This window comes from Homo sapiens, chromosome 20 (genome assembly GCF_000001405.40).
Source record: "Homo sapiens chromosome 20, GRCh38.p14 Primary Assembly".
NCBI lineage: Eukaryota > Metazoa > Chordata > Mammalia > Primates > Hominidae > Homo > Homo sapiens.
In genome coordinates, this window is record NC_000020.11 from 61,331,862 (window position 1) to 61,356,648 (window position 24,787).

General features: G+C 48.9%; 1 protein-coding gene across 3 annotated transcripts in view, besides 1 other annotated feature; it reads left to right on the plus strand.

The window, feature by feature from the left end:
• CDH4 (cadherin 4) overlaps window positions 1-24,787 on the plus strand; it is a 688,357-nt gene that overhangs the window by 79,601 nt on the left and 583,969 nt on the right. The window lies entirely within an intron of this gene.
• Window positions 21,862-22,605: an enhancer, noted in NCBI's record as "H3K4me1 hESC enhancer chr20:59928779-59929522 (GRCh37/hg19 assembly coordinates)". NCBI's record gives its function as "activates a minimal SCP1, AML or CMV promoter by ChIP-STARR-seq in naive H9 embryonic stem cells {active_cell/tissue: H9 hESC(naive)}" and the evidence as "EXISTENCE:reporter gene assay evidence [ECO:0000049][PMID:30033119]".

The window sequence follows — 24,787 nt, forward strand, 5'->3', positions numbered from 1 at the left end:
CTTGGTGCTGAACGGTGCCTGGCACACAGTAGGCGTGTAAAAAGCGTGTGTTGAGGGCATGAGTAAACTCTTCCAAGGGAGGTCGCCTGTGCGCCCCACAGGGAAGGGAGCTGTGCCTCTGCCCCCTTCTCTGCCATGGTTCTTCAGTGCCCAGAGCAGGGCCAGGCACAGGTGGGCTCTGGAAAGGTATCTCTGAGTGGACAGAGGCTGGCTCCTGGCTGAGAACACAGACACTCGACAGCGATGCCCGGCTTCCCAGAGAAGAGGAGGGTCCTTCTCAGTCACACCCCCTCTGCCAGCCTGCCCGTGGCCCTCACTCCTCCAGGAGACAGGCTTTGGACGTCCATCAGGAAGGAGCTAGCAAATGTCAGTCTCTCATCAGGGTGGGCGGAGCGGTGACGGGTTTCCTTCTGGGTGTCAAGGTCTCTGTGGCTATGGATTCAGAGCTGGCCAAGCCAGGCTGTTTCCCTAGAGAGTCCGGGAAACCCATGATGCTGGCCCACTGCACAGCGTCCCCAGCCTCAGGGCTGCTGCCTCCCATGCCCTCAACAGTGCAAGGATTCGTGTGATCCCAGAAGGCCCACAGGAGGACCTCTCTCAGAAGAGGGCTTAGGTCTCCTTCTGGTTTCTGATCTACGGTAGGGGGATTCTTGGTGCATCCCCTTGGCTGCCACTGCCGCCTCTGTGCCTTTCCTGCCCCACCCTGGGCAGCAGGCACTAGGGCCAGGTGCAGTCAGTTACCTCCAGTTAACTTCACCCTGCAGTGGGGGTAATTGAAGGTTCTGCGAAGGCCCTTGGCTAGTTTAGAGACTTCTGGCTGGCTGCCCTCCTCCCTGGGGGTGTGAGCATTTTTGTTTCTTCTCTTTGCTCTCCTGCTTTGGGTCTTGCAGGAAGTTATTCGCTTCCTGGTGGGTGTTACTGTCCCTGCCCCGGCTGTGGCGCCAGTCCTTCCTCTGGCCTCACCCTGTGTTTTCTGATGGTCCAGGCTATTTCGGGAGAAGGCTGTGGTCACAGTGCTCATCACCCTGGCTTTCTGCTCAGCCCCTGCGGAGGCTGACGCGCCCTTGCCCTCACAGGCCCCGAGAGCCTCTTACAGCATTATCCTAAAACAAAGCTTCAGCCTTTCTTCCCCACCGCTGGGCAAAGTCTTTATTTTTGGACCAAACTAAACACTTATTTGTTTGTAAAGGGTGGCGCTTTTTGGCTTCTAAGAAACTTACCTGGGGTTGGTGGCAGACTTCCTTGGCCTTTTGAGAGCAGGGAACTATTTTTAGAGGCATTGTGGCAACTCTAATAAAGAAAAGAAACAAAGGTAGGTGTGACAACTGCTTGTAATCACACACACGTATACACGTGCAGACACGCATGCACACATATGCACAGGCACATGCACACACACATGTACACACACACACACACACACACATGCACACACACCTGCATGGGGGAGCTGGCAAGTTTCTCTTTTTCTGGACATTTGGCAAAATCTGAGTCATAGAAACCTCAATTCAGACATTGCAGGGGTGCGGGTTGTCAATGTGGCTCCTGAAGCTCTGGCTTAATGAGACCCCAACAGGCATTCTTTCACTACAAAGGTCACCAGATAATCCAGCCAAGGGGGACCCAGCACAGAGCTCTCACCTGGTTCCAGGAGGGGTGACTGCAGTGGCAGGTGCAGCCCTAAGAAGTGCAGTTGTACAGGGAGCTACCCTGTAGTTGGTGTGTGTGGCTGACCCTCTCCTCCCAGAGCCACCTGCAAGGACAGTCAGAGCCCTTACCCCGGGCCACACGTGGCCCACAGAGCTGCCTTCCCTTTACCAAAGGCTGCACAGGCCTCTGCGGTATCCCTGGGTTGCGCTTTCAGGCGAAGAGCATCGTGATGTGGTTTACTGCCCTTGTATCAGAGTGGCTCAAAATTAACCCCTGGGCTGTCTGGGAGACCTGCTTTGGAAACACACTCCACATGGCTCTGGTGCCACCGTTAGCACATGGCACATCTGTGTCCTGCCAGGGCCTGGCAATGGCTGCATACAGGCTGCAGACCAGGGGCACCATGAGGTGACTGGGTGGGAGGGGGCCTCCTGGTCGGTGAGGGCGGGAGAGACAATGGGTAGGTAAGTCTTGACTCTTCACAGGCTGAGAAGGGTAGCCCCTGTCCATCCTGGGAGGTGTCCCCTCTTCTCCAGCTTTGGAGGGTGTCCTGGCCTGTGCAGCTCTGGTCACCCCAAGAGGGCCTGGAATTGGAGCCACTGACCACAGTAAGCCTCTGGGCCACCCCCTCTGAGGGCCTCCCTGAGCCATTCTGTAACCCCCCAAGTCTGCTTCCTATTGCAACTCTTGAAACAGTGTCTCTGTCATTATAAAACCTCATCTGACCTGAAATGAGGCTCATGGAGTACTTCCTATTTTTGTGGTGTCTCACATAATCACAGGTAAGTCTCACAGACCTGTGAGCTGGTTTTCCTTGTTTTCCAGGTGAGGATCAGGCTCAGAGAGGTTAAACCGTCACTGAGGTCACACAGCAGTGGGTGGTGCAGTGCGTCTGGTCTCTTCTAGTCTGTTGGGGCTGCTATAACAAACCGCCTGAGACCGGCTAATGGATAAACAAACAGCAGAAATCAATGCTTACAGCTCTGGAGGCCGGGGGGGCTGGGATCAAGGCACCAGCAGTTCGGCATCTGTTCGGCCTCTTTCTCTGCTTCCCTGACCGTGCCTGTTGCTGCATCTTCAAGCCTCTGATAAGTGCACTAATCCCATTATTAGGGCAGAGGACCCAACCCCTCCCAAAGGTCCCGCCTCTTTGTGCCACCACGCTGGGGCTGGGTTTCAACATATGGATTTGGGGGTGGGGGACATGAGCACCCACACCTCTGCAGGGCCTCCGTCTGTAGCCCTCGCCTCCTGGGGTGGAAGCTCATGTCCTTTGCTCAGTCTGTGAGGGTCATTGGCATTCAGCTTTTGGAACCTCAGGCTTCCTCCTGTGCACGATGGTGCTGGATGTGCTGAGAAACTCCACTTTGCCTCCTTCATTTGCTTATGAGTTTTCTGCAGGAAACCTTGAGACCTTCCTTTTCCCAGGCTGCTGAGCCCCAGGCTCCAGCCTGTCCTCCAAAGACTTCTCAGTAAGAGGCATTCTGCCTCTTAATAAGCATGATGACAGCGATGATGCGGCTGAGGAGCCAATGAGATACAAGACATCCAGCGAGTCTCTCTAACGTGGTTTCGTGTTGTTCAGCATGAGCCACTTTACAGAGTTGGCAAGAGGAGGTCTCGCGGCCATTGACAAATGTCAATATATTGATATTGATGCCTTCCTTCTTGGCCCAGCCGATCTGGGATGAATGTGCAGGGGCCAAGCCAGCAGTCGTCCCTGTGTTCAACATAACAGGTAAAGCTGCCGTGTATTTGGTCCAACGGAGATCGAAGGTCATTATATTCATGTTGTTCAAAAACTTAGGAATAAGCCACAGGTAAAGTATTTAAAGATTACAGGCAAAGGGATGTGACATTTAAAATATTCAGTTGCACTGTGTGTGATGCACAGATGTGATTATTGGCACCATGAATAAGTCGCATCTGGCTTGGGTTCCTGCTAGCCAGTTACTCAGTGGGGCCTTCCAGGGCAAGGTGGTCTCACCACTGAGAGGGAGCCCCAGTGGGACCCTAATTGCACCAGCAGTTGTTCCTAATAAGAGAACTAACACATTTCTCTGAATCTCCATGACTCATTCAGATTTCCGTCAAGAAAATTCAAACTGAGGTGGGATCAATAAGTCGTGCAAATTGTCAGAAAACTCCCTCCATGGAGGGCATCTGAGTTCACCTTTAGAGAAGGAGAGCATAATGCGCCCCACCTGAACACTTCCCTGGCTCGGGTGCCGAAGGCTCAGGGTGTGGTTCATAGGCAGCTATTTGTGTAAAGGGGCTAGCATCTGCATCCTGTCTTGGCTATTGAAGTTGTTTAAAGGGTGACTTTGGTAAGAGCTGGTTCTACCCACTGATGACTGTTTCTGCTTCTCTGATCCAATCAGAATCATCCAGGTTGACGCAAGGATCTTTTGGTACCTTGCCCTTATTTATGTGGTTTTTTAATGATGAAAGTAGAAACGCGGCCCACATCATGATCACCTCTTAAACAACTGGCCAGTGTGAGAGAATCTCAAGGTTTTTTGTCATTATCCAGCTTGTTTTCGATACTGTGGGGGAGAAGGTGCAGATATGATCACCAGGAGATGCATTCTCATCAGCTCTCCCGCCTGGGAACTTTCCCCTTCTTAGAGTGCCTTCTCTCCATTCCTGCCTGTTTAAATCCTACAGGGCCCAAACAGACCCACTTGGCTGCTATGAGACCATGGGTGAATCACAGTTCACTCAATAAGCCTTTTTTTTCTTATCTATACAGTGGGGATATTTTGAAGGTTAAATGAGTGATGTGTATAAAATATGCACTGTGACTAACACATAGAAGTGCCTTTTCCTCTTCTTCCTCCTCGACCATCAACATTATCATTAAACATGAGTGTTTCACTGATTCTTCCCTGATTCCTCCTCCACCACAACCACCACCACCACCACGACCATGCTTTCCCTGTGGTGACCTGTTTTCTCATGGCACCTGTTCCTCAGCACAATACCTATTCCTTCTTCAAGCCCCTTTTTGTCTCCTACCTGGAAGGCATTTTTGTGGGCCTCCTTCAGCCTCCCTTGATCAATGCCAAGCCTGTGTGCAGAGCAGGTCCTTGCTAAGTATTTGGTGGAAGGAAGCCAGGGCCTTCTATAGCCAGCCTGTAGGATGAAACTTCTTTTTGACCCAAAAATGGGGGAGATTGTCAATGTAGATTCTCACTTCAGAGGGTCGATTGCCCAATTCATTGAGAATCAGTTGAAGGTAAGAGTCCCTGAGTCCTGGCTCCTGTTTGTCTGACCTGCTTTCCCTGCTGGACTTTACAAGGAAGGACTGAGACGTGTTCCTTCCTATCTCTCTTCTCTTGAAACAATACCTGCCCAGTAGAAGCACATCCCAGTCTCTCTCAGGGGAAAGCAATGACTGGGGAGTGAAGACAGGTGGTCTGGGTGGGTGGGCAGATTCTGGCTATCAGGCAGAGGTCTGTAACCTTGGAATGACATGCCTCTTCTCTGTGTCATAGCTCCCTCTCACTGTGAGGTTCACAGCAAGGGCTGGAGACAGGCCTGGGTTGGAATCCTGACTCAACTGTTCTTAGCTGTGATGTTCCTGAACAAGCTGCTTTCCCTCTCTGAGTGACTGATCCTTCGCCATAAAGTGGGGATGCTCTAGGCAGCCACATCCCATGGATACCTGAGAACTTAGTGAGTTATCATCTTCCATGTGGCTGGCAGAGTGCATTGTTAGGCAATGGTGGTGGTGAAGATGATGGTGATGGTGATGGTGGTGATATGATAATAACACTAATGGTGATGATAATGATGGTGATAATAATGATGGTGATGATAATGATGGTGATGATAACAATGGTGATGATGATGATGGAGATCATAATGATAATGATAATAAAACTGATGGAGATCACGCTACTGCTGCTGCTGATGATGCTGATAACAATGGATGATGAGGAGAAGAAAGAGGGTGATGATGATAATGTTGACAATGACAATGATAAAAACGGATGATGATGAAAGGGAAGATGAGGGAAAGCATGGTCGTGGTGGTGGTGATGGTGTATAGATACTTCCTGGGTCTAATCCTCAGGTTTCTTCAGTATTTCCTTAAAGAGTTTTGCATGTGTCCATTTCCAAAGCCTCTCCCTGTGAGTGCATCAACCTCATATTTTCACACCATGCTGAATTGTCATCCCTGCTTGGGAAGCTTGACATTCCATTCCATGACCTTCATAATCTGTAAGATTTCTATTTCTTTGAGCTGTGGTTTCTCCTTTAGTATGTGTGCTTTATTCTACTTTCTAAACCTGTGCCCGCACCAATCATTTGCCCTGCTGTGAAGATAGAAATGGAGCTTCCTTCTTTCCTCTGGTAATTCTGAGATGTGTGAGTTTCTGCCCTGGGGTTTTTAGTTTTCTCAAACTGCAGGGGGTTAATTAGTTTGGTTATTTCACAATAGCATTTACAGTTTTCTTATTAACTGGGAAGATATCCAAGGACTCCTACTCTTCATTGGGGTCTTTTGCAATGTTTTAGTCACAAGGATGGGTGGTAGGACTTGCAGAGAATCCAGTAATAAGGAGAGATCAGAGTCATTGAAATCACCTCTAGCTATCCTCAAAAAGTCACGGGGCTCAGTTTGTCTTTTTGGTTTGACCAAGGAAAGAAATATTAGACAATGCATAGCTTCATTGTTCAACTATTCATTTTCTACAGATTTTGCTTAAAAACACTTAAAAAGCACAAGTTATCAAGGTACTTTAACTTGGGAGATTGGGAAAAAATTGAAGAGAAAAAAAAATCAGGGTATCAGGATCTTAAAGCCAGCAGAGGTTTTTCCTGCACCTAAAAATCTCAAAAGGGAACATTCTTTCTTGGCAACAATTGAGTAGTTGTACATAAGATTTGACCAGGAATGGAAGTGGAAGAGCCAAAGACGTTGTTTTCTCACCGTGAAGACTCGTTCTCCAGAAGAATGGGAATCGGCGAATGAGGCCCCGTCTGGACTTGGGGACTTGTCTCTTGCTGCTTCTCCTGCCTAGATATTTGCTCCCTCCCCAATCTGCCTGGTCCTCTGACCTGGATTTAACTTTAATTTGTTCATGGAGTCTTCCCTGACCCTCCAGACTAAGTTGCTCCCTGACTGACCATTACTGTTTATTTGTAATAATAATACCAAGCACTTGCCCAATGCAGAGATTTAAATTAGAATTAAAAAGAGACTTTTTAATTATACTTAATAGTTCCCCAGAAAGTGTTTATTTTTAAAAATGTTGAACTATCCTCAGGGCGAAGATAATATTGTAAGGCTGAGAATCTTAGAGAAAGTTCCATCATTCATTTTATGTGTGTGTTTCTGCTGTTTCTGAAGCAAACACCTAGAGATGCTCTTGAACATGCCTCCAAAGAGATTACCTGGGAAATTTATTGCAGTATTCTTCATCATGGCAAAAACAAACAAAAAGAAACCAAAATGTCCAATGATAGGAGAATAAATATGTAAATTGTGATATATTCAAGCACTACAATTCTGTAGTAAGCCACACATACACACGCACACACCCCCCATATATTCATGTTCTCATGGATGAATCTCTAACATATTAGTATGTAAAAATTGCAGAATTATTTTGACAAAATGGTATTGTTTATATGATGTTTAAAAACATCCCCAAACACTATATTTTATTTTTGTGTTCATATGGAATGAAAGCATGAACATGAACAGAGAGGACACATAGACCAATTTCCAAATCATGGTTCCCACTGTGGAGGAAGGGACTGGGATGGAAGACAATGAGCAAACAGGTCTTCCACTGATGGTGATGATGATGATGGTATAATGGTGATACTTCGACTAGAATGTGTGACACTTCCTGGAGATCTGAAGCAAAGATGATGAATGTTCTCACCTGCTAAATTTAGGTGGAGTGTGTGTGCGCCTTGCACATGTGCGTGCATGTGTGTGTGTGATCATTTTTGGGACATTCCTGTGTGTTTGAAATATTTCATAGTTAAATAAACAGTGTTGGTCTTGTGATGGGCTTGATGAAGAGATCGTACATACTTTTTTTTACATCAGACTCTCTCATAATAGATGGAATTATTGAGTCCAGATAAAAATCAGGGTCATGCAGAAAGCTGTGAGAGTGATTAAGGGACTTTGTGGTAGGTTATGAATGAAATTGTGACGTGGGCTTCCTGCCTGCTCTTTGCCTTTCTCCAGACCTGTGCCATGGACACCTAGATATTTCCTCATGCTCAGTTCCCTGCAGGCATCGCTGGGGATTGGAAGTCTTAGAGGGATCCATTATCTGATGGAGAATTTGAGAGGACTCTTCCACGTGCTGGATCAGAGCAACTATTCAGTGTGCCCTATAGAGCAACTGACTTAGAATGTTCGAAGGGAACAGTCCTCTGAATTAGTCCCACCTCTAAAGAGTTATTTAAATGCTATCTCATTACCTCTGAGTTCCTTTTATGAATAAAAAGGGTATTACTGAGTTTAAGATGATGAGTTAATTAATGAAGTATAATTCCCAGAAAGCCTCTTTGACATAATTTTAAAACCCAGATAGGTATAATCCCATCATTTAAAACTTTGAATGGGAGACTGGAAAATAATATTCTGATTGAAGGATATAGTAACCCCAACAAGGGGACTGGAGTGAAGGGAAGGGGAGCTAGCAAGGGAGAGAAAATCAGGCATTGGGAGAACCAACAGGTGACGAGGAATGAGACTCAACCTGACCCTGAGTCACAGTGTACAGTGGAGGGCACCAGGGAGATGGTGTTAGGTGAACATATGGATGAGTTGCCAACAGCCAGAGCCTCTGACAGGGAGCCAGCTGCCAGCCTGCCGCTGTCCAGCACATAATGCAGCCTCCATCGTGGGTGAATAAACCAAGTCCGGTGTCCATCTGTCGGAGATATTTTGCTAAAGGGGCTTTTCCATGAGGTGGCAACTTGGACTTTCCAAATAGGATTCTGTCATGATTTGTGTAAAGTTAAGCATCATGACATAATTGCTGGACCAAGGACTTAGAGTGGGCCATAAAACAAGTGTTTGTTTCTTTTATTTATATGTTTCTTTTTTTTTTTTCAAGACAGTGTCTTGCTGTGTTGCCCAGGCTGGAGTCCAGTGGCATGATCACGGCTCACTGCAGCCTCCATCTTCTGGGCTCAAGCAATCCTCCTGCTTAAGCCTCCTAAATAGCTGGGACCACAGGCACACACCTCCACGCTCAACTGATTTTTTATTTTAGAGACGAGGTCTCACTTTGTTGCCCAGGCTGAGATAGTTTCTTAGCCCACTGGGTTGATACTTGATTCTGTTTACCTATAAAATCCTGAATATTGGGGTGCAAATAAGTAAATCTAAGTTTTTGCCCAGTAAGGGCTACATTAGCCACACCTTCATGAGCACAGTTTCAAAATGTGAACTAGGTGTTGGCTTAAATCTGCCAAGCAACAGAAAGCAACATCCCCATTGGGCAGATGCAGCAGGTAGCAGCAGCCTTGCCGTCCGCTACACGAGGCCGCTTGGGATGAAACCCTTCCTCACCTCCTTCCCTGGAGAGACAGTCACGATCCTGGCCTTCACCGTAAGCTTGCCCTTCTCGCTCAGTGAGATAAAGTGCAAGCATGAGATAAACACATTTCAAGATGTGAGTGCTGTTGCAGTGTGTTCTGTGAATTTTCCCACTATTTTTAAGGAAGAAATCATTTTGGTTGAAGGCATCACTCTTGGTTGTGATCAGACAGAAGGGGAATAAGTGCTTAGCACAAAATGGGGCACAGAGCTTGACCTGCAGAAATGGTTGTCATTGTCATTACTTTCATTAAACTTTGGCTTCAGCTATGTAAACTCAGGAGAGAAATAAATGACTCCAGTGACAGGGAAAGCAATTTTATGGCCTAATATTGGCCAAATCTGGGAATTGTGAAGTAGCCAAAAAAGTAGCATTACCTTTGTTTGACCAAACTGTCAGGGCAAGATTACTTGGTTTCATATACTTTTTTTTCTTTTTTTTTTTTTTTAGATGAAATGGTGTTGAGAAAGGAGTTTGAGATCATGATTTTTAGCAGCCTTGAAAACTGGTAAATGAGAAGATTGGAGAATAACATTATTCCAAAGCAGAAGCTCCTTCTTCTCAGATGATAAACACCTTTGTTGATTAATTGCCATGTGCTATTAATAGGCCGCTGAGTAATTGGAAGTGATTGGCAGAAGGTCTCATGAGCCCATCTGTTTGTTGCATTTTTATGACCATTTTCAGCACAGGGCATCTTCAGAGTGCAATGGAGAAGCTTGGAGAGTGACAGGCCAGAGACCAAGTGGGCGGGACTTGGAGACGCCCATCCTGCCTTGAGAGGACCCAGGACAGTCATTTCCTAGGGGTTTGCGTCTCCTTTTCTTGCCCCCAGTATCAGTGGAGCATGGAATGCGGAGGAAGCTGGTTGTTTAATCTGGGATTCTGGAACTCACAAAACTCTTTAGAAATGCTTAGGCCATAGTGGGTGAGGCTGTTGGCAGCAGTGGCACTGAGGCAGAGCTATGGATGACTGCCAGCCGTGCATGTAGGGTCTGGGGAAGGGGAGGCTTTCGTCTCCTGGGACAGCAATGATTGAAAAGATGAGGCTGTATGACTTAGACCAGCGGTCCTCCACCTTTTTGGCACCACGGACCCGTTTCATGGAAGACAGTTTTTCCACAGATCAGGGGTAGGGAATGGTCTGGGGATGATTCAAGCGCTTTACATTTATTGTGTACTTTATTTCTCTTATTATTGCATTGTGATATATAAAGAAAGAATTACACAACTCACCATGACGTACAGTCAGTGGGAGCCCTGAGCTTGTTTTCCTGCAACCAAACAGTCCCATCTGGAGGTGATGGGAGACAGTGACAGATCATCAGGCATTAGATTCTCATAAGGAGTGTGCAACCTAGATCCCTCACATGCACAGTTCACAATAGGGTTTGAGCTCCTATGAGAATCTAATGCTGCCACTGATCTGATGGGAGGTGGAGCTCAGGCGAGAATGTGAGCCAGGGGGAGCAGCTGTAAATACAGAGGACGCTTCGTGCACTCACCTGCTGCTCACCTGCGATGCAGCCCTGTTCCCAACAGGCCACAGACCAGGACCAGTCCAGTCCCGGGGGTTGGGGACCCCGACTCAGACCATTCATTCTGCCCTGGCTGGGAAGGATGGGCTGCAGTATCCTGGGCGGGGAGATCCACACAGACCCTCTTCTCTGGAGATTTCCTTGACTTGGAAGTGATTCTCTGTTAATCATGGAGACCGTGAGAGCCCAGGGGGCAGCAGATTAAATTTGTGAATAAAAAAATGCTCTGTTTTAAAGTTCTGTGCGGCGATTATAGCCAGACATAAAGGTGGCATCTCAAATGAACATTAGCCTCTTTTAAAACAAAAACAAAAAGTAACATGAGCAACTGAAGCCTCTTGAATATGAATGGATTTGAAATCGCCCACCTACGGCCCAATGCTCTCAAATAGACTTTTCCCCTGACCCTCACAGATGACCTCACTGGTTATGAAGGGACACACTGATGAGTTCTTAGGCTCTGGATGCCTCATGGTGTCATTTCAAAGCTGCTGCTCAGGGTGGAGGATGCTCATTCGTGCTGTGGCTGGTGACACGCACATTTGCTGATCCCCCTTTTGGAATATGTTCTGTTTCTGAAGAGTTTTTGCACTTAGCATGCGTAATGTGGATAAGTAGATGAATGTCTGTTCTAGGCTGGAAAATAAGACTCAAAATGATTGTGACTTAAGGTAAAAGAAACTTCAGGTTAGCAGTCCTTGCCAAAAAATGATTTTCATTCAGATTATATCAAGGGATTGGCTGGGAGCCAGGAACATGAAAAGAACAATATTTAACTAGAATTCTTGAATAGTTATGTGAGAAAATGTGTGTGTGCATGGGTGTCTGCTGTGTATCAGTGTTGGAGCCCAGGCGGCTCTCAAGCAACGTTTGTGATGTGTTTAAGAAACACATCAGTTTTGTATATTTGTTTTTTAAGATCCTGCTGCAGCAGTATAAAACTCTCAGTGGTTCCAGCGGCAGTCAGCATAGGCAAGTTGTGCTTGCGGTAACAAATGACCCCAGGGTCTCAGTGGCTTCCAAAAAGGCTCATCCTGCTGTGGTTTGCATCATGTCTCCAGTAGTCTGCAGTCCTGGCTGAAGATGTTAGGTGCTCTTCTAGTACCATGTGACTTTGCTTTAGAGCACTTTTCCCGGCTCATATTAGAAACAGATTAGCATGATTTTAGGCTCGAAGCCCCAAGAGGGTATGGGCCATTGTGTCAACCTCATGTGCCTGTCACAGCAAAGACAGTTGGTCACATCGGTTGAAAGAATGGGGCCCACTTAGGCTAGACACTACAGGGGCCAAGATTAAAAAAAAAATAAACACTGAATAACTCCCTGAGAAACTGACTTCACTTGGATTTAAAGGATTGTACCTACGTGAAGAATGAAGAGGGGTGCTCCAGGAAGAGGAACAAGTTTGAGCAAAGACATAGGAGCGTGGTGAAGCTCAGAGTGCACTGAGGACTTCCAGGAAGTTCCACGTGAGCGGTCACTGTGGGGCCGAGGGAAGCACTAATGAGGACTGGGGAGGAGACGGGTTAGGGCTGGCCTCGAAGGGCGAGTGGAATGGTCCATGGGGCCTGCGGGGGTTGATACTGATGCTTTGTTTTTTGTGTGTATTCTTACACCCTTTGATGGGTTCAGCTGTAAGGCTTTGCTTCCACTGGGGTCACACAAGGGGGCTGTACATGGACTGGGCCCTCAGTTTGCATGTTCATTTGGGAATTACTGCAGGACTGGAATGACTTGGCTGGTCTGTCAGGCTTTTCTGTTTATTTGTAATTATTCTTCTGTCCACAATCAAGAAAGGATTTGAAGTAATTTTCAAAAATACAGATATAAATTATGGTTGTTAACATGGTGAGTTCGAGAGAAGCAACTTATTGAAGTTGTGTCTGTTCTTTTTTCATGAATGGCCTCATGTATTTTTGTTTTCTATATTTGCCATTGTTCTCAGTGATGAGATAGCCAGGGGCCAAACCGCCTCTTCACTAAGAGGTAAGCCATTGTGTTTCCCTGTTGCTCATTAATTTAGAGAGTTTCATACATGCTGCCAGTTCCTAGATTGATTTTTCTTTGTGATTTTTGACTAAATCCTTGTTTCCCAGTGTCTTGTGTTCAACTTTAATATTTTACTTTTTGTGTGATGTCTGTAATACTAACACAAGCTCATAGACAATGGCTCAAAATAAGGCTTTCCTAAGATTAAAATTGATCATATGAAGCCACCAAGCAAGGGTCGGAATCAGCAGAATTATAGAACACTTCCTCGGCTTTGCGTCCTTTGAAACAAAGTCAGGTTCTGCGCCGGCTATTGACCCGCAGACTCGAGTCTAGGATGCACCTGAGTGCCCAACTGTGCTGTGTTCTGAGTGAGATCTCTCAGGTAAAAGGTCAAGTCCAAGGTAGAGCTACTTATGCGCAGGTAATAGTGGGGGCAGAAGTGATTTTTATCTCGTTTGGATTCCTAGCTGTCTCTTTCGATGGACGATCAAATTCTACCAAGAGTCAACACATGCTCCTAATGAGAAACCTAATGGGTTCCATGTGTGCATTTCGGGCCAGGCCCAGTGCGCCTCCCTCACTGCTGGCATGTTTGCAGTTACCTTCATCTGTAAAAGTCATATTTCCACCCCAGGGAAATCGAGAGTGACAACACGCCATGTTCTTCTCTACTTTCTCACCTGGAATAGTTTTAAAACCTCAGACAACACCACCCCGCGATGATGAGCATAGTGAAACTCAAGCCCTCTGGTTTTTAAAAGCAGTGTTCGTTCTTGTAATTAATTCGCCATGTTTCATTGGGAATATAATGTTTCATTGAACATTCCGTATTTCATTTTTACTCAGCTTAATGTAGTATGGGGTAAAAGAAGTCCGTGAGGACAAGGTAACCATGCCTTTATGGAATACCCAGGGTGGAAAATCTGTAATAACAACGTAAGGAGCCCTACCTGGGACACTCCTCACGATGCCTTCATCTTATTAGACAAGGAAATGTTGATTCACTGCCTGTCAGGTTTACTTTCCCCTCTGGCAACGAGGAGGGGAACAGGGGAAGAGAGAGTTTGTGGTCACCCCTGCACTGAGATCCTGAATGGACAGCAAGGAAGCGGCTGCCAGGAGTGAGTGGTGTTGGGGCTTCATCCTCGGGGAGGGCTCTTTGTGCTTCCAGGTTACAAACTAGAGAGGTGGACAACCCCTGCCACTGGCAGGAAAGACATGGGCAAGAGGAGAGGCGCTCTCCAAGGTATGCATTCCTTAGGGTGCCCTGTCAGCTCTGCGTCTTCTATTCGATCAATGTTTGCTGAGCACCTGCTGTGGACCTGGTATTTTGTAAGCATTCTGGCAGCACGTTCTCCCTTCCTCATGCGGGTGGCACTCCCCTGGGAGAGGCAGAACACACAGGGAAGTACACAGTGAGCAGAATAAATGCTCACGCGGGACAAATTAACCCACGCGGGATAAATGCTGCAGGGAAACCAGCATCATGGGCTGGAGGCTGAGGGGTGATGTGCAGTCAGGACAGTCTCTCTCAGGGTGAGGTGGTCATTCCATTCTGTCAGGCCCTGGGGCTGAGTGTGTCTGGAAGAGGGAACAGCAGAGGCAGGGGACTGAGACCAGGATAGTCAGGAGGTCCTAGAGGAACCACAAGACGGCCCCAGGGGCCATGAGTAGAATCAGTGCATGGTTGGTGTGGTCGGAGGGAGGCAGGGATCAGCCAGGCCAGCCATGGGAGCCCCAGCAAGGAGCTTGGGCTGCATTCCCACGGCCATGAGGAGGCTTTGGAGGGTCTGAGCAGGAACGTGCTGTTGGATTTGAGGTTTAAATTAACCCCTCTGCTGACCGGGCATGGTGGCTCACGCCTGTAATCCCAGCACTTTGGGAGGCTGAGGCAGGCGGATCACCTGAGGCCAGGAGTTCAACACTAGCCTGGCCAACATGGCGAAACCCCATCTCTACTAAAAATACAAAAATTAGCTGGGCGTGGTGGCACGTGCCTGTAGTCCCAGCTACTCAGTAGGCTGAGGCAGGAGAATCACTTGAACCCAGGAAGCGGAGGTTTCAGTGAGCTGAGATCACACCACTGCACTCCAGCCTGGGTGACAGAGCGAGACTCTGTCAAAAAAAAAAAAAAAATTAACCCCTCTGCTGTGGCATGAGAATGGATTCCGGGGGCCAGGGTGCAGCAGGAAGCCAGGCTCTGCGCTATGCAGGTGAGAGGCGACGGTGAGTGGGCCAGGGTGGGAATTAGATCATATTGACTCCACGTACGGGTGCCCCCCATCTGTCCCTCATCCCCATCCCACATTCCCAGGCAGTTCTGCTTGCTCCCCTGCAGATTGGCACACATGTCTCATAAACCATCTCTCCCATTGTCTAATAACATGGTTTCATGGCTGTCTCCTCCATTAGCCCAAGGGTTCTTCAAGGTCAGTACCACGTTTTACTAACTTCATCTGTAGAACCCAGTGTAGGGCCCGAACTCCCAGCAGGAACCTACATTACCCCTGACTCATGGACTGCGGTTCTCAGAACCTGACCTCTGTGGGAGACCAAAGTCATAGCCTCGTGCCCCACATGGCCGTGAGGCCCTGCCCGCATTCAGAAGACAGGTGACAGCCCGTGCCGCTGCCTGGCTAAATGCTTGCTCCACACATTTTACTAGTGGCGGCTGAGTCTGCGTGATGGCCAACGTGGTTTTAGAAATATACACCTAGATTAGATGAGGCTTCTGTCTTAGATGATTCCAAATGTTCTTACTTGGATTTTGCTTAAAGGAAAAACAAAACTATCTACACATTTCCCCCTCTTCATACTTTACCAAAAAGAAAGAGAAAAAATGTAAGAGGATATTGACTCCCACGATGCTTCCTGCGGTGACTAAATATAAATATGTATGACAGATCGCAGAAGGAATCATTAATGGCAGCTGTCAGTGCTATTTAAAATGAATTAGACCTTTCCAGTTTCCCTCTAGTGTGAGCGCTGAGAGACACATAAGGCTGTTCTGATTCATCGTGGACCTGGAAGTCCATTGTTCAGCTTAGTCGGGAGATGTATATGCTTATCAGGCAAAATAAGCTGGCGGGGGCTGGTGTTTGCGAAGCGCCAACTCGCCTTCTTTGTCTCATAACATTTGGCGGGGTGTGCTTTCCTGGTTCGGCACGGGACATTGGTCTCTTCAACTTCAGCTGATTTGAATTGGGACCCACAAACCAGGTGGGAAGCATGGCGTTTGAACCGTGCCTGGAATATCAGATGAGTCCTGTGTCTGCAAAGTCTGATAGTCAGAGGGAATAACAAGTCCTTAAAATGAGGAACAGCCCTTTCCATGGTTAAAGGGAAGAGTGGAAACCCACGTGTGTATTATCGGGGAAGACTTTCTTCTGGGAACAGGTGTGCCTGTAACATGGTGACTTCCCACTGGTCTGTTTCGCCCCATAATGGTAAGCATTCCTACATTTGGAGAGAGTAGGTATATTAGTCTGTTCTTACACTGCTAATAAAGACATACCTGAGACTGGGTCATTTATAAAGGAAAGAGGTTTAATGGACTCGCAGTTCCACATGGCTTGGAAGGTCTTACATTCATGGTGGAAGGCAAAGGAGGAGCTAAGGCACATCTTACATGGTGGCAGGCAAAAGAGCATGTGCAGGGGACTCCCCTTTATCAAATCATCAGATCCCATGAGACTTATTCGCTATCACGAGAACAGCACGGGAAAGACCCACCCCCATGATTCAATTACCTCCCACGGGGTCCCTCCCATGACACATGGGAATTATGGGAGCTACAATTCAAGATGAGATTTGGCTGGGGACATAGCCAGACCATATCAATAGGAGACAAGGGAACTGTTGCCAGCGGTTCCCTCCACCAAGACCTAGAGAGACTGAATGCTGCCCACTTTTTCTCATCTTAAAGCTGAGCTTCCAGTGAGAGCTTCACTTCTGTTCTCTTTAATTTTCTTTCACTTCCGGTGTTTAAATAACCCAGGATCAGTTTATGTATCATGATATCTTCTTTCAATAATCTGGCTGAATCTCTCCAAATGGCTGGGAGTTTATGGCCCTGGGCAGGTGGACGAGTGGGCAGAAGTGAGAACAGGACTTCAGGAAGTATAAAAGCTCTTGTCACTTCCAAAGGGCCTCTTTCTTCCTGGCTTTGAAATAAACCCTCTGATGGCCGCCAGTAACTGTTTCTCTCTCAAGTATGGAAGAGAAAGCCATTTGGATTTTTGGATGTAATTGACACAGGGTCTCTAAAAGTTCTTGTTTGTTTTTCGTTTGTTTTGGGACTACATTTGAAAGAAGAGGCATAGAGACCCGCAGCCCCTCCTGTCCTGGCTGCCCAGGGCTTCTGGGAATAACAGTGGTGGTGGGAGGGCCACATTGTGCCGCAATTGTTCCTTTATGTAGTTAGCTTCCTGTTTTATTTTATGCTGTGCGGCCCCAGCATCCAGGGTTTTGTGCTTGGAAGATCACACGTATGTCATGGGACAGAGTTCCTGTCTATATGGAACATGGGCCACTTCTCAGGAACCGGCCTGCAGCCCCGATGGACAGGCTGGGTCATCAGGAACAGACAGCGGGGACCCTGCAGGGCCACATATGCTCTACCTGCCCCAACCCAAGGCTGCTCCGTAGCCGTGGAGTTGGTGGTTCTGGGGAGAAAGGTGGCTGCAACCTGGGATTCAGCCCCAGCTCCGCAGCCGGGTGTGGCAGCTCCTGTGCTGGGTAGGATTCAGCACATCTGGGCTGAAGTTTTCATCTTGAGCACCAGCTAATGTTTGATGTGAATTGAATCATAGGGAGAAAATGCCCACTTGAGGCGTGAGCCAGTTAATTTACAAAGTCAGTGAGGGAAAATCCTGCAGGTGCCCGGGAAGGGTGAGCGCAGAGCCAGGATCCAGACGAGGCCGGGAGCTGGGGTGCTGGCTGATGTCCCCGTTGCTGGATGCTGCTGGATGTGTATGGACCTGGGGTATGGCACAGCAGGCCTCATCGGGAGGTCTGTGGAGTGAAAGCTGGGGCTCCCCACAGCTCCCTTCCATGCCCCGTGAGGCACGCCCTTGTGTTATAAAGAATCACACAGTCCCTCGTGGAGACGGCTCTCAGGGGCAGTCTTGCTGATCCTTCTGCAAATAAGACCCCTCTGAGGCCAACCATGTACGTGGAAAGGAGCATGTGCTCCTAAGTTTTCCAGGAGGGGAAAGGACCAAGTTCATGTGGGACCCAGCTCAGAGCACAGCTCACCCCCGGGGCAGGGCAGCTCATGCTACCATTCGAGCGAGTGGTGGCCTCAGTGCCAGACTCAGCCCAGCGCCAGGAACCCAGGAATCCCTCTCCTCCTGCCCCTGCCCACTGGGACAGTCATGTCAGGAAGGAACTGGACACATGTGGGCGAGGAGGCAGCCGCCCTCCAGTGCCACAAGGCCAGCGGAATACCTCTGACCTTGCCTCTCCCACCCAGCGTCAGGCAGACACCTCCCCCTCCCCCAGTGCTGCAGAGGCCAGCGGAACACCTCTGACCTTGCCTCTCCCACCCAGCGTCAGGCAGACACCTCCCCCTCCCCCAGTGCTGCAGAGGCCAGCGGAACACCTCTGACCTTGCTTCTCCCACCCAGCGTCAGGCAGACACCTCCCCCTCCCCCAGTGCTGCAGAGGCCAGCGGGACACCTCTGACCTTGCCTCTCCCACCCAGCGTCAGGCAGACACCTCCCCCTCCCCCAGTGCTGCAGAGGCCAGCGGAACACCTCTGACCTTGCCTCTCCCACCCAGCGTCAGGCAGACACCTCCCCCTCCCCCAGTGCTGCAGAGGCCAGCGGAACACCTCTGACCTTGCCTCTCCCACCCAGCGTCAGGCAGACACCTCCCCCTCCCCCAGTGCTGCAGAGGCCAGCGGAACACCTCTGACCTTGCCTCTCCCACCCAGGGTCAGGCAGGCCCCCCACAGTGCTGCAGAGGCCAGCGGGACACCTCTGACCTTGCCTTTCCCACCCAGAGTCAGGCAGATCCCTGCCCTCTCCCAGTGCCATGATGCCAGCAGGACACCTCTGACCTTGCCTCTCCCACCCAGCATCAGGCAGAGGCCCCCCCCCAGTGCTAACTGCGCCCTCAAGTGGCCTGGGGAGAAAAGTTGTGTTGTGAGCGGAAAATTGCCACTCTTATGGGAAAGATGATGCTGTGTTGGAAACTCAAGCTTCACTTGGAATTATGATTCCATGAGCATGTCGCATGCTGCCTTTTTTTTATTTTCTAGGAATAATTTTGAAAGGAAATATTGTACACATTGAAGAGTGACTCAATACAGAGACCATCGCTCTAGGCTGAGCCGGTCTGAAGCAGGAACCAGGCATGTGCTGCATCCTGAACGCCAACAAACCTGTGTTCACGGTGGTGCTGGGGTGGCAGCTGTGGTGGGGGCAATGCCTTGGGTGTCACAGCCGCCCTCCCTCCATCCCCGGGCAGCCCGTGCTCAAGGCCTGCTGTCCTCCGTGCTTTCAGATGCTGGGAAGGTCAGGTGATGGCCATTTGCAGGGCTCTGCCTCCCTGGATCAACCAACCACAGATCAGAAATATTCGGAGGAAGAATTGTGCCTGTACTGAACATGGACAGATTTTTTCTTGTCATTCTTCCCTACACAATACAATCTAACAACTGTGTACATAGCATTTACATTGTATTCCATAATATAAGTGATCCAGAGGTGATTTCAAGTCTATGCGAGGGGGTGCCTGGATTCTACGCACACACTGTGCTATTTCGTATCAGGGACTTGGGCGTCTACAGATTTTGGCATGCACGGTGGTAGGTCTTGGAACCAGTCTCCCACTGATACCAAGGGACAGCTGTATACTTTGGCATAAATGACATTTACTAGACATATAGTTCTGCAACTTACTTTTGTTGTAATTTTTATTTTTTGAGGCTACACAGCAGGTATGTATGTGTATGGGGGGGACGTGAGATGTTTTGATACAGGCGTAGAATGCACCGTAATCATATCAGGGCAATGGGATGCTGTCCCCTCAAGCATTTATCCTTTGTGTAACAAACTAATCCAGTTACACTCCTTTAGTTATTTTTATTTTTATTTATCTTTTTTTTTTTTGAGACAGTCTCACTCTGTCGCCCATGCTGGAGTGCAGTGGCGCAATCTCGGCTCACTGCAACCTCCGCCTCCCAGGTTCAAGCGATTCTGCAGCCTAAGCCTCGCGAGTAGCTGGGACTATGGGCAGGCGCCACCATACCAGGCTAATTTTTGTATTTTTAGTAGAGACGGGGTTTCACCATGTTGGCCAGGCTGGTCTCGAACTCCTGGCCTCAGGTGATCCACCCACCTCGGCCTCCCAAAGTGCTGGGATTACGGGTGTGAGCCACCGCACCCGGCCTCCTTTAGTTATTTTTAAGTGTGCAATTAGATTATTATTGAGTACAGTCACCCTGTTGTGCTAACAAATCCTAGCTCTTCTTCATTCTTTCTAACTTTTTCTGTGCTCACTCACCGTCTGCACTCTGCCCTCACTACCCTTCCCAGCCTCTGGCCACCTTTCTTCTCCTATCTCCATGAGTTCATTTCATTTTTAGCTTCTGTAAATAAGTGACAATGTGCAAAGTTTGTCTTTCTGTCCTGCAACTTACTTTTAAAATTTAATATATATTGAAATACATGCCGTGTCGGAACAAAGAGTTTTACCTCGTTTAAAAAAAATCCCCGATTAAAATTTATTTAGTCATTTTTGGTGACGTTCGTTTGTTGCCAGCATTGTCCCTCATGAGAGCCAGTGTTTTTCCACAATGCAGTGAGCACGTCTGAAAATGTGGCAAACGTCTTTACATTGCTTTAGAAAGGACTGCACTGGCCCCCGTGCCTGCCAGCGGGGTGTGAGCCGCCTGTGGGGCAGCCTCTCCGGTGCGCGGGACGTCCAGCCCTTTTCGTTTCTGACCTGGTGGAAAGAAAACAAAGCTTTGTATTTTGTTTTGATTTCTATCGCCTGGTTCTGCTGGGGTAGGCCGTTTCGTGTTTGAGCCTGTTTGTATATTTCTCCTTGGATGGAGATGTTCTCTAGGGGGCCTGGCTGTTTCTTGTTGGTTTGCAGGCGTTGTTTTCCTAGCCTGCCATTCACTCCCCCCGGTCACCTGCACTGCATTTTCTTCCTGGCCGTCTGCCGCTTGCTGGTTTTCTGCTCTTCGGAGTTCTTCATCCGGCAGTGCAGCCAGGAGCCCATCACCCCGTGCACCTGTGAGACGCTGCGGACAAGGAGTGTGTCAATGTCCCATCCTTGCGGCGCACAGGAGGTTCCAGGACCCAGGAAGCCTCAACATTCTCTCTGCCTGTGTGGCATGCCGGACCAAGGGGCCCCTGGGGCTGAGCTCAGGCTCTGGGGACCCCACGGGCCCCATCTCCTCCCCTCCCCTCTCTTAGCTCCGCAGGTTTCTGACCCGCCACAGGGGCTCTCGCCTGCCCGACTCTGTCCTGCTTCTTCTGCTCCAGCCACAGGCTTCGCTTCTGGTGTTGGCTCTGCTGTGTCTCAGGTTTCCACCTGTGGAAAGCATATACATGATGAATGTGCTACTTCCTCCCCTGGAGGCAAAGCTTAGTTGGTGGGAGGGGTCTCAAGGTTGTGAATGGGGATCTGGGGGTGCAGAGGTGCCAGGGTCTCTGGAACCATGGGGCAGCCGCGTGTCCCTGAAGCAGCCTGTATCTGGACTAATATTTCCTCTTCCATTAAAATTAATTTAGCAATCTCCAGCGATGTGCCAAGCCTTCGCGCATTGCATAATGCCTGCGACTTTGGCCTGTAAATTTATTTCACCACCGTTATCTAACTCTTTACCTTGTAAGCTGCCTTAATACACTGAGCCTTGCAGAATATAATCTTCACAGAAAACCGAATATATTCCACAGCACTGAGAGTGGACATCTCTCAGACTGGTCACTTCTTGTGCATCCTGGCTTTCAATTCAGGTTAATTCCACTTCCTCCTCTTCCTCCTCCTCCTCATCCTCCTCCTCTTCCCCCTCCTCCTCTTCTTCCTCCTCTTCCCCCTCCTCCTCCCCCTCCTCCTCCCCTCCTCCTCCTCCCCTGCTTCCCCTTTTCCTCTGGAAGGTGATGTGAGTGCAGTACGATGATTCACCCCAGTTCACCTTCCACTGGGTGGGAACAGCGCTTCATGCCAGAGCCTGGAATGTGCCCCGTTAGAAACATCCGCAAATGAAAATTGCTTTTTAGCTTGGTTGGTTTAATGAAATTTATCTTTGAGCATAATGGAGAATGATGATTTTTCACCCCAGCAGCCCTGCTTTGTGCTGAAAGGACTTATCTTCTGTGTCAGTGTTGCAGGACTCTGTTTTCCTGCTTGTAGGTGTGAGGAATCGATAATTTACAGGGATGGGGATTATTCTGAAGATTCTATGGCAGTGGTTTTCAACGAGGGGTGATTTTGCCCTCAAGGGACATTCGAGAACGTCTAGGGATGTTGGGTGGTGCTGGCATCGTGTAGGTGGAGGCCAGGGTGCCGCCGACCGTCCTACAGTGCTTAGGACGCCCCCCACCCCCCAGAGGCCCAAATGTCCCAGCGCCGAGGTCGGGCCTGGCTGCTCTAAGGAGCGGAAATGTCTCCCGGCAGCACGTGAGTGGGAGAGGGCGGTTTTCCAGACAGTCCTCCTGGATCCCCCAAGACCCTGGAGTCAAATCATTCTCCTTTGAATTCCAAGACTTACCTCTTCCTGGCAACGTGACCTCTCTGAACCACGGTTTCCTGACAAGGGCTCTCGAGATGGCCATCCCCACTTTGCTGGGTCCTTATGAAAATGGATCCACTGATGCACATTGACAGCTTAGCACAATCCAGGTGGTGGCTGTTGCTGCTGCTGTTGCCGTTGCTGTTGAAATAAATCAAAGATGATAATTGAGGGGAGAGAGAAGAGACTTCCAGGCTTTCCCTTGCCCCACATCTGAGGGGCTGTCCTGACCCCTCCCTGTGGCTCAGCCCCGCTGCACCTGCTGGGTTCCCTGTATGGCCTGGCAGTGTGGAGCCCACATTGCTTGCCGTGGCTGACCGGGGCCTGCCCACCACATTGCTCGGCCAAGGTTTAGCCCTGGCCTTCACAGGACCTCGTTGGCTTATCGTCCCGGGGATGACCAGCCCAGTTTTGATCCTACACTCCTAGTCACACTGTCATGTTGCTGGAACCTGCCAGGGGTGCAGGAGCGGCTGGAGAGCATCTGTGAGGGGAGAGCAGGGCACAGGGAGCCTCTCTCTGGCTGCCGACGCAGCTTACTCCGCACCTAAGAGCATCCTCTTAATTAGGCATCACCGGCCACATTTGGAATGGCGCATTAACATTTTATGGGCCATTTTCCCATAAAGAAAAGCAAAGCCGATGTAATTCTTGCTGGCTTTGGGGTTTTGGCTTCACACTCAGCACATCAGACAAAACCACTGTGGGAATAAAATTCCTCAAATGTGGCTGCAGTCATTGAGTAGGGAGAAAAACGCACCGTTAAGTCCTTTAGCAAAGACCCCTAAATCCTTTCATTTCCAGGCAATAAACACTGAACAAACCTGCCCTGGAGAATTGAAGTCCTTGAAAAAAGCTCTGAGTCAAGGGGGTGACCAAGAAAGCAAAACATTCAGAAAGGCTGGAGCAGGAACCGGACTCTCATTCCGCCTCTGCTGGCACAAAACTGTGGACTTAGAGGAAAATGAGCACGTGGCCAGTCATCCATGGGGATTTAAATGTCCTTGGTTCTTAGCAGTGACCTCGGCAGGACTGAAGGGGAAGGTGATTGGGGGTGAAGGTACAGGTCTTCCTCTCGTGGAAATTTCTGGATCCAAGACAAACGTGAAAGATGAAGCAAAAGACCACGTGCCTCATAAATGAAAACCAAAGTCCATCCCAAGCTCCCGCACAGTCCTTGCCAAGGGACGGTTATCTCATTGAACACAAGCTCAGCCTGGTTTTCTGGTCTGAGAGAAAAAAACAGAGGCAGCTTAAGACATACTCTCTGAGAACACTGAGGAGCAGTAGCTGGTAGTTAAGACAAAGGGAGAAACCATGTAGACATGCACACCTGTGTGTGTGTGTGCACTGTGCACCTGTCTGCCGCCTGTCTGTGCGTGGATCTCTGTCTCTGCTCATACATGCACCTGCACACACATGCGTACCACACATGCGCACTACAGTCAGAAGGCCTGAGAAGCCTTTCAGGCCACCAGGCTATGCTCTATGCTTGAAAAATTTCCTGCCTTCTCCACAGCCTGTTAGGGCATGAGTGTTTATGGAATAGGAAGGTGGTGGATTGTTCTGGAAATGATCAAGTTGTCAAGAGAGCATGTTATGGGGTTTCGGATGCATAAAGTTTATCATGCACTTGGTTAAAGTTTCTTTCCAGAAGTCAAATTTTCTTTTTAGTATTTTCAGCAAATTGTCTTTCTTCATCTGGGCATCCCGTGGAGGTAGGATGATGAGGCAGAGCAGCAGCGTTTCTGGAGCATTCACTGGGCATCAGGCAATGTGCCAGTGCTTTTCTATGAAGTGCCTCATCTGGAATGACCACTGTTCCTATTGAATGGACGAGGGATTATCTTGGAAGAGGGTTGAGTCCCTTGCCCAAGAAACTGCATCTGGAAGGCACCGCAGCTGGACTGTAACCTGCTCTGTGTCATCGCAGCACCACATCCTCCTGCCAAGCAGCAGGCCATTCCCCGGCGGAGAACTGCTGTTTCCCAGAGTGTCCAGGTAAACAAGGGTTTAGGCATTACCCAGCCCAGCTCAGCCAGCAGCCCTGAGAGTCTTTACACCCAGTTGTTGATGAGTGAAGCCAAGCGGAGAAACACCATGCCTCTTGCTTGCTTTTATCTCCTCACCATTAATTGTCTGACTACATTTTCTTCAAGAGGCAACAAAGAGTAAAAGCCGTGCAGTTGCTTTTCTGTTTAGCTGGTTGTAAATATTCAGCCAGAATTTGACTGACAGTGCAATATTATGCTCCCCAAAGCTTGCACCGTATGTGAATA